The sequence below is a fragment of the Homo sapiens genome, chromosome 5 (genome assembly GCF_000001405.40).
Source record: "Homo sapiens chromosome 5, GRCh38.p14 Primary Assembly".
Taxonomy (NCBI): domain Eukaryota; kingdom Metazoa; phylum Chordata; class Mammalia; order Primates; family Hominidae; genus Homo; species Homo sapiens.
Window position 1 is genome coordinate 136,722,396 of NC_000005.10, and position 17,382 is coordinate 136,739,777.

Sequence of the window (17,382 nt, forward strand, 5' to 3'; positions counted from 1 at the left end):
CTAATCCTATCATATCAGGGCAAACTCTTAGGACCTCATTTAACCTTAATTTCTTCCTTGTAGCCCTGTCTCCAAATACAGTCACACTAGGGATTAGAGCATCAGCACCTGGATTTTGGGTGGACACAATTCAATCTATAGCAACGGGCATATAAATCTATCAAAACTCATGAATTTGTATGCTTCAAATGAGTGCAGTTTATTATAGATAAAACAGACCTTCATAAAGTTGTTTTAAAAAATAGAACAGGCCAGAAACAGCCAGATCTTGGCCCAGTAGATTTAATAGAGTCTTTTAAAAAAGTCAGGTTAGTCCTTACTCCGGAATTGAGTGACTATGTCACTTGCTACTCAAGAGAAAATTGCAAAAGAAACCACTCCCTTCCTGAAACCTCTCACCCCACTGGGCTTACACTTGTCCCTCTATGACCAGGCTCCAGATGACAAAACTGGACACTGCCTCTGTACCTGCTGAGGCCAAGTGGGTTCACCCTCTTCCCCAGGCAGCTTTGGCCACTGGTACTCCCCTTGGCTTTGGGTGCTCTCAATACCCAAATAGATGACTGGCCTGCCCCTGCTTTTAAGAAGTTAGGTCCATTTTACCACCTACTTTCCAAAGGGCTCTGGGAGCACTGTGTTGTGGATGGAAGGTCTCAGGTGCCCACCTGTTCAATCAGTGCCCCTGCAAGGTGTGCCCTGCTGTACCAGGACTCCTACCAAGTCTGATCCCTTCCCAGGGGGCTTCATGCTCCAACATTTCCTACTCCTACCCCTTTCTTTTTTTTTCTCTTTTTCTTTTCTTTTTTTTTTTTTTTTTTTTTTTTTTTTTTTGAGACAGAGTCTCACTGTGTTGCCAGGCTGGAGTGCAGTGGTGCAATCTTGGCTCACTGCAACCTCTACCTCCTGGGTTCAAGCAATTCTCCTGCCTCAGCCTCCCAAGTAGCTGGGACTACAGGTGCTTGCCACCATGCCCAGCTAATTTTTTGTATTTTTAGTAGAGACACGATTTCACCGTGTTAGCCAGGATGGTCTCGATCTCCTGACCTCACAATCTGCCTGCCTCGGCCTCCCAAAGTGCTGGGATTTATAGGCGTGAGCCACCATGCCTGGCCCCTACCGCTTTCTTGATACCTCATGAAATGTGCTTATGTCTTAGGCTCTACAGACTCTGTTTTCAGATAACGTACTGGTGACTGATAATGACTTGCAACCCAGGGTTGCCTTTTAATTTAACAGAAGCATTTTGGAGACAGCATCTGAATCTCAGGGAATCTTGATGCTTTCAGTCTAACCCCTGCTGAACTATAAGTTTGTCTGGCCTACTATGCCATGGGGATTTTTCTAAAGCTCCAAATGGATCACATCACTTGGCTGATTCTAGTCCTTCATTATTCATTCATTTATTTATTCAAAATGATATATCAAGTTTCTGCTGTTCTTGGCTCTGGGCATAGAGAAATGAATAAGACATAGTTCTTACCCTCTAGGAAAATACTGTCTGGCAGAGGCAGCTAGACCTGCATTTTATGTAAGTAGACAAATGTCACAAAGAGCTGTAGGTACCTTGATGGAAATGATGGGATTTAGGAGAGCCTAAAGGAGAATGATGTCATTTCTTCCTAGAAGGCAAGAGGACATTGTTTAGGCTCAAAAAACAATATCCCAAAATGAAGGCCACAGAAGCAGCCTCAGAAGCCTGTTTTTCTCTGACCTTCTCCTGCCCTCTTGAGTCTTAGTACCATTCTCCCTCAAAACTAGTCCTGTAAACTAGAATCCCGCTTCCCCAAAGCAGATCATAGAAACAAGAACTGCTTTTCTAAAAATCCATCCATAAAACTTAAAATATTCCATGCAAAAACTGGCCATAAAGAAATTATATGACCTACCTTGTTTGACTGCAGGTCATTAGAATCCCATTCCAGAGAGAGGCCTGCCCCATACCCAGAAGGGAGGAATGTGTGCTTAGCAAGGCCAAGAAGAATCTAGACAGACAGGCCTTGCTGGGTTTACTCAGTCTGTTAGATCAGATCATACCTTCCTGTCTATGTTTCTACATGGCTGTCCATACTTGGTTGAACCTAAGTATAAAAATGGATAATTTCCCCTGTATCTTGGGTCTTCATTCTGAAGGCTCCTACGTATACACATTAAATAAATTTGTATGCCTTATCTCCTATTACTCAGTCTGCCTCATGTCCATCATTTTCAGCAAATCTCCAAAGGGCCAAAGGCCTTGGCCCTTACAACATCAAGAAAAGCTTCAAAGAAAAACTGACCCCTGAGCAAGGTCTTGAAAAGAGAGGGTTAAGACATTTCTGGAAGAGGAAGCTACGCTGAATAAAGGCATGAAACAACGTGGACATGTTTATCCACATTTTACTCATAAGAAGTCTGAGGCTCCAACAGGTTAAAAGCTTGCCCGTGACCATATTATTTGTGTTGCTAGTAAGAGCTTCTCCTGTGTGCCAGGTATTATTCTAGGGGTTGGGAATATGACAGGAAACAAATTCAAATTTAAGTACAGGGATATTTTTATTACTCAACACTGCAATCCCATCTTTTCAGTTTAGTAATGCTACAGAGCACACCTACTCTGCTCAAACATTTTGGGGAATACAGAAATGAGTTATACAAAGCTGTCCTCAAACAATATATGTAATATAGTAATATCCCGTAGTTAAATTTAAATTTGTTTCCTGCCATATTCCCAAATAATTGTGTGGTCCTTTCAATTTTGTAATGTTATCTTAAAAATAATCACTGTTTTGTTTTGTTTTGTTCATTTTATTTACCTGATGACAAAGTGCGAACATTACAAGAAAACCAAAGTCTTATTGACCTGGTACTTAGCACTTGACCAGTGTTTTGATTTATATATTTTTGTTTTTTGTTTTGTTTTGCTTTTTGAGACAGAGTCTCACTTTGTCACTAAGCTGGAGTGCAATGGCGCGATCTTGGCTCACTGCAACCTCCGCCTCCCGAATTCAAGCTATCCTCCTGCCTCAGCCTCCCAAGTAGCTGGGACTACAGGCACAAGTCACCACACCCAGCTAAATTTTTATATTTTTAGTAGAGGTGGGGTTTCACCATGTTGGCCAGCATGGTCTTGATCTCTTGATCTCATGATCTGCCTGCCTTGGCCTCCCAAAGTGCTGGGATTACAGGCATGAGCCACCATGCCTGGCCTGATTTATATATTCTTATGAACAAAATTATGTGAATTCTGGCCCAAAGGCAATTGGGGGCTGTTTTATTTGAACTCAGACTGTGTAACATGAATTGTCATCATGAGAGAGGGAAGTCTTTGCAGTTAAGCTGTTGGGGCTGCCATGTAGGTTTCTTGTGCTAAATCCTTGAGGGGGTTCCCAAACCCATAAATGAGAATCCATACTCAATCTACTTTTATGCCTAGAATCTTTTCATATGGGTACCTGAACATCTACCTCTGGCTGTTAGAGGAAACAGCAGTGATGAGATCCAGGTAGATAATGTCAACCTCCCCCTCATGATACTTCTGTGTTAAACAAAGGTGAACTGTGTCATCTTAACTCAAGTCTTTACATCCCCTTAGGTCCTCCTGGCCTGAGCTGGGAGGTATTCAGTGATGTCCTGGATGATGGGACCAGAGACATGAGCATCACTTCCTTTGGGCAGGAAGGAAGGCAGGAAACTGGGAATGACTCTTGAAGCCCACCAAGAGATTCCATTCCTACCCCATCCCCCAAGTAACCAAAGCAACCTCTAGAATCCCCACCTGGAATTTTAGGTCCCAAATTCCAAAGGTAGTCTGTGTGTAAAATTTGGGGCATTAATAACAGGTCCTTTTGGATTTGTTTCATGGCCAAGGAATCTAGAAATACATTCTACTCATGATCCATCCACTTTCCCTACGAGTCCCCAAGAGAAATAAGATGCAGGACAAGTATAAAAGACAGACACACTTCAGTGTTAGTTGAGCCTTTGAACCTAAACCCCAGTATAGAGAGTATCAGTGGGATACACTGTGCCACAAGTAGCACTCCTTTTTCCCACATTAGTTGAGCCCACTCTCCAACCCTGGACCCATGGCAGATACCACTAATCAATTGCAGTACTCTACTGTTGATCCCAGACAGAGCCTCAGACACTTTTTCAATACAGAGCTTTAAGAAGCTACTCCTTATTAATAGGATTAGTACTGTACAAATATAAAGCCTATAAACTATTTTTTTGACCCACGAGATGAGTGAACACTTGCTTGGTTCTGTCCTTGTCTTGCTGCTTCCCGCAGGATTCTTCTGCTATTCTAGGCTTGGCTGCATACCCATAGATTTCAAGCTATTAAGAAAGATGTCACATACTTGGATTTGAGTCACTAAAGCTCTGCCATATAGTTCCTCTCCTTCCTTCCTCTTTTCTTAATCCTTATCATCCAAGTGATGGGAAGGCATTGTGTTTGCTTGATCTTTGTCCATGTGCTTTTTTTCTACCTCTGATTAGAGTCATGCCCTTCTACCTGGGTTATCATTTGTTGGTCTTCTCCCCACCAGCTCATACTCTCTAACAATTTTCAAAAAAGTCAAATTTTCAAAAGTTTAAACAAAGACTAACTGAAACCTTCTCTTTCATTAACAGAGAATCTAATGTGCCAAGTATGCTGACAACTTTGAATTCAATGTCTTTTAATTCATAACTGAAAATGCACCTACTGTCTGAGGGATATTTTATGTTCCACCATCTCATGATGTCTCTGGGATGCTTCTTAAATGATATTCCTGTCACTGAAGCCTCAAACCTTTCTACCTCCTTTAGAAAACTACCTTTCTCTACTTCACCCATATTGCTCCTTGGCTTCCCAGGTTGGGCCCAAATATCCCTCTACTTTCCTTTTATTATGTATTATTACTATTTTTAGAGAAAGAAAGAATCTTACTCTGTTACTCAGCCTGGAGTGCAGTGGCACACTCATAGCACACTGTAACCTTGAACTCCTGGCTCAATCAATCCTTCTACCTGAGTTCCCTGAGTAGCTGGGACTACAGGTGTGCACCACCATGCCCAGCTAATCCTCTTCTGTCCTTGAAGGAAGTCAAAGAAGATGCCAGTGAAGAGGCATAAGTGGCCAATTACTCTTAAGCCCAAAGGCTCTTAGGAATTGACTTCTGCTTCACCAGAGGTGTCCAATATTTTGGCTTCCCTGGGTCACATTGGAAGAAGAAGAATTGTCTTTAGCCCTACATAAAGTACACTAACACTAACAAAAGCTGATGAGCTTAAAAAAAAAAAAAGTTCTGTGTTGGGCCACATTCAAAGCTGTCCTGGGTCTTATCCATGGGCCACAGATTGGACAAGCTTGCTTAGAGGAAGGAATTCAAATCACGATTTCACTCTAACTCTGTTGCTTTCACTCTGATGGAGGTATTAATCTGATGGGTTGGATTTCAGGGCCTCATTTTCCAGTGATTGGGAAGCCCTCAGGACATAAATGGCCTGTGGATAGGCAGACTATGATTTTGATTCCATCCCTCCTGCAGCTGGTGGATGTCTTTCTTACATAATGATAAGGTTCAAAACTTAAATTGGGTGCTGGGAAAGTGGGAGGTAGGGAACAGGCAGACTGTTCTGAGAGCCTCTTTTGTATAAAGCCACTTAGGCTCAACTAAGTCATCACAAATGGTCATGGACAATAGATGTCCTCAATGCCCCTTATCAAGACCCTTAAAATGACTCTTAAAGCTCTAATTATCTAGTCTTGCCTCTGATCTCTCCTATATCCCGAACCATAGTGACTTTATGAAATGTGAAAATCTGATGATATCTCTACTCTTGGAAAGGCAAAACACATTCAGAGCTCTGGGACAAGGATCAGAGAAGTGATCTTGCTTAGGAAAGACAGGCCCCTGCATCCCCATAAGCCATGACTTATTAGAGAATTCATGTTCTTATATAGAGCCACACACACCTCAGCCTGTCCAGTGGGAGCTATCATGATAAGCAGAAAAAGGAGAAGGAACTAGAAAACAATTAAATAAGAAATTGAAAATCTAAGAGTTTGGTCAAATAGGTAGCCTTGTAAGATGCCGTCTTCTGAACCATCAGTAAGTGTCTATGTGGTCTCCCCACAAGCTGAGGATTCTGGGTCTATTTTTGGACAGGATAGCAGGGGTGTGGGCCCCAGGGTGGCAGGCTTGTCTGTTCCCATTTTTAAGCAAGGCCCAAAGCACACTTGGAGGGTTCATCCTGCCCCATCTCTCCTTCCAGGATCCTGGGCCTGATTAAGAAGCAACTCAGATGTAACGCGGTGGGAAGGAGTCTCTCTTCCTTAGCAGTTCAATTGGAAGCAGCCACGGCCAGCTGTCAGCACTGAGGCAGGAAAAGCCAAAAGCAGTTGGAGGCCAGGGCAGGTGTGGTGGGAGTGGGACCGAAGGTCAGATGCAGGAGTGTGAAATGAGGCCAAGCAGGGGCCGGGAGGATGGAGGGGCCTGGAGTCTGAGGCTAGGTCAGCTCTGCAGGAAACATCTAATCTGAGCAGTGTGTGAAAATTGGAGTTTGGGGTCAGAACCAAGGGCAAGCAGAGCTTGTTTGGAAGATGGGGCCAGGTTTCAGGACAGAGCCTTGGTTGGGAGAAAAAAATCACTTCTAGGGGATAGAAGGCCAGAGCATCACCAGAGAGGCCAAGCTTATCTTGGTTCTCCCCTTTCTTCTAAAAATTTTTACCTCCTCTGGTCTTAAAAGTGCAGTCGTCCAAAACTAGTATCTGTTGTAGAGGGAGGTGCTGTTTAGCATTAAATAATCAAAAGACATCAGCAATGTGTGGGAAGCCCAGGAGGGGACAACATCTCAGCTGAGGAGCCCCCTGCATTCATTACCTTCTGGTGCAGCGCTGAGCGGCATAAGCGGGCTGCTTCAACCCTTCTTTGGGTGTAAGGCATATGCATTAACAAGTATCCTTCATTTCAAGAACATTCTATATTTTCTGTGATGAATTTTGAAATAAGTGTTCATCCTGAGGCATCATAAAACCAAATTTGAAAACCACCAGCATGACCAGTATCCAGGTAGCTTTGAGGATAAAAAGAGCAGGAGTGGTTCCTGTACAGCCTCTGTCCTTCCTTCTGTCCTCTGCAAGGACTTATGAGCTCCTTTTCTGGACCAGGATGGCCTTCCCCAATAGATCATACACTTGGAGATGAGCTTCTCAAAACTCTCCAGCATTTTCTTTCCAGTCTCCCGGCTCTCCAAAAGATCTGTAGGGCTGACCAACATTTTATACTCATTTTGTAGGTTAAAACCAAAAGCCACAAAGTTAGCCAGGTGCGGTGGCTCACACCTGCAATCCCAGCCCTTTGGGAGGCTGAGGCAGGAGGATTGCTCGAGGCCAGGAGTTCGAGACCAGCCTGGCCAACATGGTGAAACCCCATCTCTACTAAAAATACAAAAAATTAGCCAAGTGTGAGGCTGGGCGTTTGTAATCCCACCTACTCAGGAGGCTGAGGCAGGAGAATCACTTGAACCTGGGAGGCAGAGGTAGCAGTGAGCCAAGATTACGCCACTGCACCCCAGCCTGGGTGACAGAGCGAGACTCTGTCTCAAAATAAATAAAAGCCACAAAATGGGCTTGTTTAGGGTCAAAACAGTCTTCAAAAAAACAAGATACTCATCATTTGCATGACTCAAGGATGCCAGATAGTTAAGCCAATTGTTTACTTTATGATTATTCTGCTCCATGATGCTGCTTTGCCTAGCGTTCCTTTCATACAATTCTCCAGCTTTAAAATGTTATGTGATTAATAGGAAAAAGAGGTAGGCAGTCTGGCTTCCCACTGAGAGATGTGACTCACCCTCATAACTTTAATGGCCTTAATGTGTAATGCCCTGTGACTGAACTTGAATATCTGTGGAAGGGATTCTCTTATCACTGTGTTTGCAGCCTATTCTCGGAACCATCAGAGGATCATATCAGAAATCTCCCAGTCTCTGATGTGAGTCTGGTGAGGGTATTCATACACAAATACCCTTTCTTCGTTTCATACAAACATTTTTCCTCTCTGAAATATCCTTTCTTAGCCATGTGATAATTATCACCTGCAAGGGACACCATGAAGAGAGGCCCAGGTGCCACCCAGCCTTGCTTTGCTTCTAGTTCTCTGCAAGGGCCCTCAAATGCTTGTTGAGTGTAACCTCTCTTCAGGGCAGCACTAACCTCCTCTGAGTGGCCACCTGCAACCCCATACCACTCATTCATTGCTGGGAGGTAACAGCTACACCGTGGTGAGCAGTCTTTGGTAACAGAATGACTCAGAATCAAATCCACCCCTCACAGGTGAAAGATGTGTGACTTTAGGTACAACATCCGTGTCACTGAATCTGTTGATCTGTTAGAAAGATAAAATGACTAACAGAAAGAATGTCCCAATTGTAAAAATTAATTTGAAAATCGTAAATGTGCTTAAGGATAGCTTCAAGGATAAAATAGGTAGGGCCAGTGTCAGGTGCAACCTCTGAACTTCCTCCTGTCCTGTGACTTACTGAGGACTGCAATGTGCCAGAAGCTGCATTCACTGCTAAGGATAGAGCAATCAACAAGAACAACTGGTCTTTTATCCCAAAGAGCACATATTGGGAGACAAGCATCTCAAAAATTATTCTGCCCTGGCACATGGTAGGCCCTCAGACACAGGTGGTTATTGTTCACTGAATTATTCTACATCCGGAAAACATATTATGTTTTTGCTACACTTCTCTAACCCTGGCTTGGTGTCCTACAGCTAAGGAGAGAGCAAGAACGGTTTTTCTTTTCTCTGCCATTAATACAATGTTCCCAGTAAGAGTTCGATAAAATTTTTGTTATGTAACTAACCACTGTTAGCAAAATTCAACTTCCAGGAGAGATTTTTCAGAACAGCACACAGTGTCAAGAGTGGCATGTGGAAAATCACCTCTTACACTTTAAGCTCTGGTTAGAGACAGAAAAGGAAAATGAACAATGATCCCTGCCCTTCCATAGTCAGCTGGGTAAGGCAGGGTGGAATCAAACAGAATAATCTTAGCAAACTCATGTAAGAAGCCCATCCCCAGTGGTGAGTGAACAGAGGGGAATGCACATGCTAAGAGAAGTCTAGCTTTGCCGGATCTCACTAAGATTTTATGTGTACTTTTCCCATTTTACTACTATGAGAAACAACCCAATGAGGGTGTGTAAGGAAAAAAGGAAAGAAACCCACAAAATGTAATTGTTATGTGCGTGACATAATGTAGGTGATTTTAACAGCAGGTAGAAATAAGCTCCTTCAGTAAATTAATTCAACTGTAGTGGCAAAGCATCCTGAAACCACAGAGGCTGCTCCTGGCAAACCCTCAGTTCCTTGGCAGCAGTGCTTAAACACAACTTTATGTATTAAAATAGGAGAACCTCCTTTCCAGGAGAATGAGCCAGGAAAATCAAATAAAACAGCAACTTCTCAAGTCATTTCAAGTTGAAGAAAATGCTGATCAAGTGGGCCGAATAAAATGAGTTGTGTTTCTAAAATAAGAAAGGTGGGTGTCTCTAAGAGTGGAAGTTGGTTTCATGACCTTTCCTGGTAATAGAAATCTCTTATATCTCTTAGGTCACATATTTCCACCAAGCCCCTCCTCACCACCAAACAAATACAACAAAACCACCTCAGAATCATCCCTCTGTTTGACTGTCAGCAATGTGATCTTCAGTAAAATCTGCAGACCCATCTTGGAAAAACTTCACATGGTTTCTAGCCTAAAGGTGATTTTGTTTTTTGGTGAATCTCACCAATGTGGACATACACATCACAGGATTTATTTCAGATTGAAGCTGGATCTTCTACTCTGATTCAAGTTCTGAAATGTAAAGGTTGTTGAGGAGAAAAAATACCCAGAAACAGTTTCTCACAGTTCATTCAGTTCATTAAAATCGAGTTTTAGGTTATTGAAAATTATTTTCTTCCACATTTTGGAATAATAATTGTCCCTACGAACATTAGGGCAACATTGCTCGTGCAGTTTGGAACACTGATTACTAAGGCAAGAAAACCAGCTGGGGCCGGGCGCAGTGGCTCACGCCTGTAATCCCAGCACTTTGGGAGGACGAGACGGGCAGATCACGAGATCAGGAGATCGAGACCATCCTGGCTAACATGGTGAAACCCCGTCTCTACTAAAAAATACAAAAAATTAGCCGGGCATGGTGGCAGGCGCCTGTAGTCCCAGTTACTCGGGAGGCTGAGGCAGGAGAATGGTGTGAACCTAGGCGGCCGAGTTTGCAGTGAGCCAAGATCGTGCCACTGCACTCAAGCCTGGGTGACAGAGAAACTCCATCTCAAAAAAAAAAAACAACAACAAGAAAACCAGTTGGTATGTCTTAGAAATATTTTCAACCCCGTAAGTTAAAATTAAAAAGGCTCTATGGCTAAAACAGAGTTAAGCAGAAAGTTCAGTTTGGAAAAACATTATATTCACTGATATTTTTGGTTACTCAACATTTTGTTTCATTCTGCATTAGAATGAAAGGTTAATCATTCACTACTTGATGAGATGCTGCCTGGCATAATAGTGTGGGCTGGACAAAAAGCAACTTGGCTTTGTTTGTGTTTTGCTGTAAAGTAGCCTGGTGGCTCAGGGAAATTACTTAACCTCTTGGAGGTTCAGAATGCTCAAATGGATTAAGATATCAAATTGGAGACTTTATAAGACCCTGTAGTTCTAAGTGACTTCCATGTGCTTCCAAGTCATTTACCAGGTACTACAGGTGAAGCCAGAGACACTGGCCATGAGTTATCTTCAAGGTCAACTGTGATCATCTCAATCTCTTCCTAAAAACTGTCAATCATTTCCAAACACCTACTGAACAAAATTCTATGGATACCGTTGAAAGCTTCCTACCAATGAAGATAAAGGAAAAGAAAAAAAGGAATTTTCTCTGCCCCCAGGTGAGAAATGAAATCTCTTTCACCATTGTACTTTCTACCACAGTAATTGTTGCTAAGCAAGTAGCTCGACAGAGTGATGTGAGGTTTTTTTTTTTTTTTTTTTTGAGACGGAGTCTCGCTCTTTCACCCAGGCTGGAGTGCGGTGGGCGCAATCTCAGCTCACTGCAGGCTCTGCCCCCTGGGGTTCAGGCCATTCTCCTGCCTCAGCCTCCCGCGTAGCTGGGACTACAGGCGCCCGCCACCTCGCCTGGCTAACTTTTTGTATTTTTAGTAGAAACGGGGTTTCACGGTGTTAGCCAGGATGGTTCGATCTCCTGACCTCGTGATCCGCCCACCTAGGCCTCCGAGGTTTTAAACAGACATGACAGCCCCTTTCTAGCAACCTCCAGATTCAAGGTTAGTGAGGGTTACATGGACTCTGGGATTCTAGGTATTAGAGGCTGCGGTTACTCAGCAGCTGTTTACCAAGTTAATTGCCCTCTCTTTCTAGAAAAGCAACTAGACTAAGTTTCCTGGCCTCCCTTGCAGGTAATTGTTACTTTGTCGTGGCATTCTGTCCTACAGAATATGGGTGGATGATACCTTTTCCAGGCCTAGCCCATGAAAACCTCTCACCTGGCCTGGAGCGGTGGCTCACGCCTGTAATCCCAGCACTTTGGGAGGCTGAGGTGGGCGGATCACAAGGTCAGGAGATCGAGACCGTGGTGAAACCCCGTCTCTACTAAAAATACAAAAAATTAGCCGGGTGCGGTGGCGGGCGCCTGTAGTCCCAGCTACTCAGGAGGCTGAGGCAGGAGAATGGTGTGAACCCGGGAGGCGGAGCTTGCAGTAAGCCGAGATCGCGCCACTGCACTCCAGGCTGGGTGACAGAGCGAGACTCTGTCTCAAAAAAAAAAAAAATGAAAAAGAAAACCTCTCACCTAATTCTCAATTTCCTGTTGCCACCCATCTGCCAGCTGAATTGAAGATGGCAGCCTGGGTTCCTGAATGACTGTCTTCCACCACAGACTACACTCTGCAAGAGTAAAGAATCAACTTATTTTGTGTTCAACTGCAGAAAATCTGGGTGTTGTTTTTTTTTTTGTTTGTTTGTTTTTGTTTTTGTCACAGCAACTAAATTAGCTGCATATAGAAATGTCTGCCTATATACAAAAAAAAGGTATTTGCACTATTGATTTCTTCAATGGGAGCTTTTAAGCTTTCACCTAATTAAGTCAATAAACCATCCACTATAGTTCTGATACCAGTTCCTGGGGTCTTAATGAAGGAATGAATACTGAATAAATCACTGGATAAAGAAAAAGTAGATAATTAAGTAAATCATTGAATAAATAAATAAACAGGCTTGTCAGTGGTAGGTGCTCCAGAGTGGGGTAAGATGACAAAAACATCTTCTTCCCTGGGCCTTTTTATGTCTGGAACAGCTGAGCACAACCACTGATTTATTCCTCGAGAAGTGTGACATGAATTGTGATGCAGGCCTAGGACTCTGAGACAGTTAACAAGAGGCTCAGAGAGAGATTGGCTGACCCACAGCTACTGCCCTGAGACTGAGTAGTGTAGTGGGGAGGCCAATAGAGGGAGATAAATGAAGTGCCATCTAATTAAGAAACAGGGCAATGGCTCATCCTAGGGCTGAGAAGGAAAGAGAGGCTGCTTCTACCAGGTTCTCCATCCTGCAACACAAGGTATGTCCAATTATAATTTCCAAACAATTAAGAGCGTGACTATGTGTTAAAGATTATTAATTTAATAATGAGGGAGTTGGTAAAATGGTAAAGCTGGTTCAAAGAGCATTTTAAAAAATAAGGGACTCTTACATAATCCAGGAGAGAAGGCATTCTGAAATAAATTTGCCGTTAGACAGAAAATTGGAATATCATACAGGACAATAAAATATAACTTTTAGGATTATCTATTTTAACAGAGAGAAATCTATGTTACATGTAACTTTATTGTATCTAATCCCTTAAAAGCAGATATATCCCCACATATAATTAATCTTTGAATAAGCCTATGAAATAATATTCTAGTATGACATTGAAAGGACATGGTGCTCACTTTTCTGCCTCATTTCTAAGTTTTAAAAGATTTTTTCCTAGCAGTCCCCCTAGTTTGATCATAAATAATCTGCAAAGATTATTCTCTATCACAAAAAAACTGATGGTCTTGAAAGGAGGTGTCAGCTGGGCTTCCTGGGTCAAGTAGGGGCCCAGAAAGCTGTGAAACTCACTCATTTTTTGCATCAGGACTTACTTCGGTCTTGGATGAATAATATTGAAGATATATGCTTAAAATATTCCTAACATCAGAATTTGTGCATGTGTTTTCTTCCCCAAGAAAGCTATAAACAGCAAAAATTTTGTTGTAAGCTTCCCTGTGTCCTCTCTCCCTCTCTCCCTTCCCCCTCCTCTGAAACTAAAAGGAATGTTAAAAGCCCATTTTTCTGTGACCAGCAGACCTTATCTATGCTCCCAGTTACAATTCCTTATAAACACATTTGTAAAATCCTGTGAGATCCTGTCTCCTTTGCCATGCAGCTGCAAGGTTAGAAAGTAGATAAAACTTAAGTTGCAATTCCGGTTTTCCTCAAGATCTGAGACATGTTAATTGTCTTTGTTTCTCGCTCTGGTAACATCTTCCCACTGCACGTATTTCCCGCCTTAAAGAGTTTAAAAGGTGATCAAAAAATCTAATACTGGCTACCCACTCGGGACCCCTTCCACACTGTGGAAGCTTTGTACTGTCACTCTGTTCAATAAAGCCTACAGCTTTTTTTCTCTTGGTCCAATCCGTGTCTGTCTCTCACCACGGGCTGCCGTCACACTAAATCTTTGGCGTAGCTAAGGTAAGAACCTTTGGCGTTACAGTCTCATGGTGTTTTAGCTTGATTATTTACAAAAGTGAAACAAGAGGTATTAATTAACCATAAAAGCCTCCATGAGCATATAGTACTAAGCAACTACTAAGGCCAGATAATTTAACTTCTGTTTGGAAATTTTATTAAGGAATCTCAGGTAGAGCTTTTTAAAAGACTCAATTGTTCTGTCTTCTAGCCTGTGGCTAAAAGCAGGCCCAAGAAACTCCACCACATTTCACATGCAGAACCTCTACATTTTGGTCATTCAGCTTTTAAAACTGTGTTGAGCTAATTAAGAAGTATGCATAAAAGAACTAGCTATTGCTAGCATCCCATTAAATCTTAGAAGATCTCAAAGGATGTCAGGTGTAAAATTTACAAGAGATAAACAACCCCATTAAAAAGTGGGCAAGGGACGTGAACACTTTTCAAAAGAAGACAGACATGTGGCCAACAAGCATATGACAAAAAGCTTAATATTAGTGATCATTAGAGAAATGCACATTAAAACCACAATGAGATATTACCTCATACCAGCCATAATGGCTATTATTAAAAAGCCAAAAAATAATGGATGCTGGCGAGGCTGTGGAGAAAAGGGAATGCTTATAGACTGTTGGTGAGAGTGTAAATTTGTTCAACCATTGTGGAAAGCAGCATGGTGATTTCTCAAAGAGCTAAAAGCAGAACTACCATTCAACCCAGCAATCCCATTACTGGGTATATACCCAGAGGAATGTAATGCATTTTACCATAAAGACGCATGCATGTGAATGTTCATTGCAACACTATTCACAATAGCAAAGATATGGAATCATCCTAAAATCATCAAAATCCATTTTTATGGCTATAAAAATAAGATCATTGTCAGGCTTATGAGCCCAGGCTAAGCCATCATATCCCCTGTAACCTGCACGTATACATCCAGATGGCCTGAAGTAACTGAAGAATCGCAAAAGAAATGAAAACGGCCTGTTCCTGCCTTAGCTGATGACATTACCTTGTGAAATTCCTTCTCCCAGCTCAGAAGCTCTCCCACTGAGCACCTTGTGACCCCCACCCCTGCCCACCAGAGAACAAACCCCCTTTGACTGTAATTTTCCATTACCTACCCAAATCTTATAAAACAGCCCCACCCCTATCTCCCTTTGCCGACTTTCTTTTCGGACTCAGCCCGCCTGCACCCAGGTGAAATAAACAGCCTTGTTGCTCACACAAAGCCTGTTTGGTGGTCTCTTCACATGGGCACAAGTGAAATTTGGTGCTGTGACTCGGATTGGGGGACCTCCCTTGGGAGATCAATCCCCTGTCCTCCTGCTCTTTGCTCTGTGAGAAAAATCCACCTATGACCTCGGGTCCTCAGACCAACCAGCCCAAGGAACATCTCACCAATTTTAAATTGGGTAAGCGGCCTCTTTTTACTCTCTTCTCTAACCTCTCTCACTATCCCTCAACCTCTTTCTCCTTTCAATCTTGGGGCCATCTTTCAATCTCTCCCTTCTCTGAATTTCACTTCCTTTCCTTTTCTGGTAGAGACAGGAGACGCATTTTATCCGTGAACCCAAAACTCCAGCGCCAGTCACAGACTTGGGAAGACAGTCTTCCCTTGGTGTTTAACCATGCGGGGACATCTGCTTGATTATTCACCCACGTTTCAGAGGTGTCTGACCATGCGGGGATGCCTGCCATGGTCCTTCACTCTTAGTGGCAAGTACCGCTTTTCTGGGGGGCAAGAACCCCCCGACCCCTTCTCTCCATGTCTCTACCTCTTTTCCACTTTCCTGGGGAGCAAGTACCGCCCACCCATTCTCTCCGTGTCTCTACCCCTTTTCCACTTTTCTGTGGGGCAAGCACCCCCCACCCCTTCTGTCCGTGTCTCTACCCCTTTTCCGCTTTTCTTGGGAGCAAGCACCCCCCACTCCTTCTCTCCATATCTCTACTCTCTCTTTTCTCTGGGCTTGCCTCCTTCACCATAGGCAACTTTCCACCCTCCATTCCTCCTTCTTCTCCCTTAGCCTGTGTTCTCAAAAACTTAAAACCTCTTCAACTCATACCTGACCTAAAACCTAAATGCTTTATTTTCTTCTGCAACACCACTTGGCTCCAATACAAACTTGACAATGGCTCTTAATGGCCAGAAAATGACACTTTCGATTTCTCCATCCTATAAGACCTAGATAATTTTTGTCAAAAAATGAGCAAATGGTCTGAGGTGCCTTACATCCAGGCATTTTTCACACTTCCTTCCCTCCCTAGTCTCTGTTCCCAATGCAATTCCTCCCAAATCCTCCTCAGTCCCAACCCTAAGCATCACTGAGTCTTTCCAATCTTCCTTTTCTACAGACCCATCTGACCTCTCCCCTCCTCCCCAGGCTGCTCGTCACCAGAGTGAGCCAGGTCTCAATTCTTTCTCAGCCTCCACTCCTCCACCCTATAATCCTTCGGTCACCTCCCCTCCTCACACCTGGTCCAGCTTACAGCTTAGTTCCATGACTAGCTCTCCTCCACCTGCCCAACAATTTCCTCTTAGAGAGGTGGCTGGAGCTGAAGGCATAGTCAGGGTACATGTGCCTTTTTCTCTATCAGACCTCTCTCAGATCAGTCAGCGTTTAGGCTCTTTCTCATCAGACCCCACTAAATATATACAGGAATTCAGATATCTAACTGTGTCCTACAATTTAACCTGGAGTGACTTAAATGTCATCTTAACTTCTACCCTCTCCCCAGATGCACGGGAAAGAGTTTTTTCTCTGGCCCAATCTCATGCTGACAACTGCTGGCTCCATGAGCCAGACCTCCAGGAAGGCATTAGAGCAGTTCCCTGAAAGGATCCCCAATGGAACTATCAGGCAGATTCCCCAGCTATAGCTAGGTGAGATTACATGATTTCCTGCCTAGTTAAAGGGCTTAGTCATCTAGGTTCCCATGTCACCCCTAATCCTGCTTGAAGCAGCCCTGAGAAACATCGCCCATTACCTTTCCACACCACCCCCCAAAATTTTCACCACCCCAACAGTTTACCACTATTTTGCTTTATTTTTCTTATTAATATAAGAAGACAGGAATGTCAGGCCTCTGAGCCCAAGCTAAGCCATCATAGCCCCTGTGACCTGCATGTCCAGATGGCCTGAAGTAACTGAAGAATCACAAAAGAAGTGAAAATGGCCTGTTCCTGCCTTAACTGATGACATTACCTTGTGAAATTCCTTCTCCTGGTTCAGAAGCTCCCCCACTGAGCACCTTGTGACCCCCGCCCCTGCCCACCAGAAAACTACCAGCTTTGACTGTAATTTTCCACTACCTAACCAAATCTTATAAAACAGCCCCACCCCATCTCCCTTCACTGACTCTCTTTTCGGACTCAGCCCGCCTGCAGCCGGGTGAAATAAACAGCCTTGTTGCTCACACAAAGTCTGTTTGGTGGTCTTTTCACACAGACACAAGTGAAAATCATGTCTTATGTGGGAATGTGGATGGAGCTGGAGGCTATTATCCTTAGCAAACTAATGCAGGAACAGAAAACCGAATACCACATGTTCTTACTTACAGGTAGGAGCTAAACGATGACAATTTATGAACACAAAGAAGAAAACAACAGAC

The 17,382-nt window shown here is 43.3% G+C and overlaps 1 long non-coding RNA gene across 4 annotated transcripts in view; it reads left to right on the forward strand.

Moving 5' to 3' along the window:
- The first annotated feature begins 12,535 nt into the window (after window positions 1-12,535).
- The window catches only part of CTB-1I21.1 (uncharacterized), a 28,574-nt gene continuing 23,727 nt past the window's right edge, over window positions 12,536-17,382 (forward strand). For all 4 annotated transcript variants that reach the window (NR_188339.1, NR_188338.1, NR_188336.1 and 1 more), the window contains exon 1: window positions 12,536-12,610. This is a non-coding gene — a long non-coding RNA (uncharacterized CTB-1I21.1). The remainder of the gene's footprint in view (window positions 12,611-17,382) is intronic.